Genomic DNA, 2,588 nt, shown 5'->3' with positions numbered 1-2,588 from the left:
ACCATGTTGCCCAGGCTGGTCTCAAACTCCTGGACTCAAGCATTCTTCCTGTCTTGGCTCCCCAAAGTGCTGAGATTAGAGTCATGAGCCACCACACCCAGTCTATTATTTTAAATAATAACAGCTGTTTAAAAATATGAACCCCAACTTTAATTGTTATTGTACCATAGACTTTATTTCTCATTCATACGAAGTTTGCAACAGACTTTCCCGATTGGCTCCATATTCCTCCCAAAATGGTGAACACGAATTCAGGTTTGTTCAATCTTTTGAGTTTGCCATTTTCAATTTGTGGCTTTTAAGGTCACCATTGGTATTTGTCTGAAGCCTGGGGAATAGGGAAAGAGTATGGAGAATTCAAGGTAGGAAGATTTTATCTGCCCAACATGGTAATAGTCCATATCAAGTCAGTTTAGATTTTGTTGGCTAGAACTCAGTTATATGGCCACACTTACCTACAAAGATGGCTGGGAAATGTGGATTGATATGTTCCCATGAAGAAGAGAAAATGGGTTTGGTGAGCAATTAGCCAGCCTCCACTGTGCTAAATACCATTGTAACCCACCTCACATTCCACTCCACCTCCTTTATATTAAGAGAATTGGAGCTTCTGTGTCACCAAAATGGATAATTGCCGCCCCTCTGTGGTTCTTTGAGGCCATAACCATTTCTGGTCAGACCATTCTGGGGAAATTAAGTAGAAATTGGATCTTCAGTTTCTGACACCTCAGTAAGGCAACCAAGACCTTTTCAGCTATAACAGCAAGAAGGCAGACACACACAAACTTGTCCTAAAGTTTAGCTCTTCCAATTGCAGTAGGAAGTTCTCTAAGACTTAGTTCGGGCAGAGACAAAAGCAGAATTAAAGCAACTAAAAGCAGATGTGAGCTTTCTGTAAGTCAAAGCAAAATTCTGACTTAGTAAGAGAATTGATAATGCATGCAAAGTAGCAAGGAGGGTCAGACACAGACATGCCAAATGGCACAAGACAAGTTGTCCTGACATGGATTTTAGGATTAGAGGCATTTTAAGTTTAATCCAGCAACCTGGGGCTTCCTAATCAACCCACTCAATCTTCCTGGGAGGCCTCTGATCTACAGGGTTCGGAAAATTATCAGAGAACTATTACAGTACAACAACAAAGCAGACAAGAGAGAAGTGGCTAGTTACTTAAACTTTTCAGCAGGTCTTTATTCAGGAAAAAAGAAGGAATATAAATTCAACCCAGTTTTGTCTGCTGCTCCAGCTCTGAGAACCATCCTGCTTACTAAGAACAAGCTTCCTGATGGCAGTTTGGCCAGGAGGGGACGATCTGCTTTCCTGATTAAGTATCTCTGCTGAAGCATTACTGCTTTCAGTGATGACTGTCCTTTTTAAAAATGACTATGTTTTTGAGTCTCACCTTCCCTCAGGTAAGTAAGATCATCCAGTTTGTGGGGTTGAAAACAGCTGTTAGAATTTTTGTTTTATACACATTCCCTTTCAGCCACTACTGAATAACAGACAGTATGTGGGAATAAAAGACAATCAAGTTTATGCCTATTATCTAAATATCATGTAAATATTTCTAATAAGTTGAATTGATCCTCTCAATCAAAAATTGAAAAATTAACTTTACCTTAGATGTCATCAGTTTCAGTGTAATTGACGATTGGTTATCTTTACACCTATGCCAATGAAATATTTTATGGTATTGCCTCTTTAACAGATTTAAAACATCCTGGAGCCTGGATGTGAAGTCAAATGTATCCAATTTTAAAAGACTGGGCTGGAGGCTATTTGGTTATTCTTGCTGTTAAGTTTCTCTTCTGATTACTGCTTAGTCATTCCAATTGTTCGCTTCGCAATTAATCATAATGACGGGCTAAAAGATCAAATCAACAAGCTTTGGCCAAACTGGGTGTATTGAGAAGATTTGGCTCTGCCTAACTTTGTTCTGAGGACAACTCTTACAGCACTACTTACCTAGGAGATGCTCAATAAATATTTGATGTTGATAATGTTGATGGCCATAATTGCAAAAGTAGGAAGATAATAAACAGAAATCAAATTTTCAGTTAGGCTCACATACCAGTCTGCCTTTTAAAACAGGAATACAATTCCTCTTGCCTCTGAAATTTGCTTTCACCCCCAAAGTCAAGATGCCACAGAATTAGCATAGCCATCAACACTATTCAGCACTTACTCTCAAAATGATTTTAGATGTATTTGTAAGTTAAAATGAATTTCAAACATGCTGAGCAATGTGATCTGTCATATTAGTCTAGATGTCAGGTGCCTAGACTTTCTCTGTGAGAAACTATTTACTCGCTTTTGCTCAAGAACTCATAAGGAACATAAGTGGGAGACAATTGTTATTTAAATTAGTGAATTATAACTATAGTGAACTTCTTTTTAATGAAAACACCTACACCAATTAGTTCATATTTTGTATCAAAGTGATTATTTCCCAACCTCATTTTCTCTAATCAAATCACTGTTTGTTACGGAAATATGGCAAGCTGTCAAATGAGTGGAATGTCTTTTTCTAATCCTGACTTATTAGTATAATTTTTCCCTTCAAGAGAGGCAGCAAAAATATCCACGGG

General features: G+C 37.9%; 1 annotated feature.

The window, feature by feature from the left end:
- Positions 219-878: an enhancer, noted in NCBI's record as "NANOG hESC enhancer chr13:54759857-54760516 (GRCh37/hg19 assembly coordinates)". NCBI's record gives its function as "activates a minimal SCP1, AML or CMV promoter by ChIP-STARR-seq in primed H9 embryonic stem cells {active_cell/tissue: H9 hESC(primed)}" and the evidence as "EXISTENCE:reporter gene assay evidence [ECO:0000049][PMID:30033119]".

The sequence above is a fragment of the Homo sapiens genome, chromosome 13 (assembly GCF_000001405.40).
Source record: "Homo sapiens chromosome 13, GRCh38.p14 Primary Assembly".
Lineage (NCBI taxonomy): Eukaryota > Metazoa > Chordata > Mammalia > Primates > Hominidae > Homo > Homo sapiens.
The sequence above is the reverse complement of the archived record's forward strand: the minus strand, read 5'-3'. Positions and strand labels throughout refer to the sequence as shown.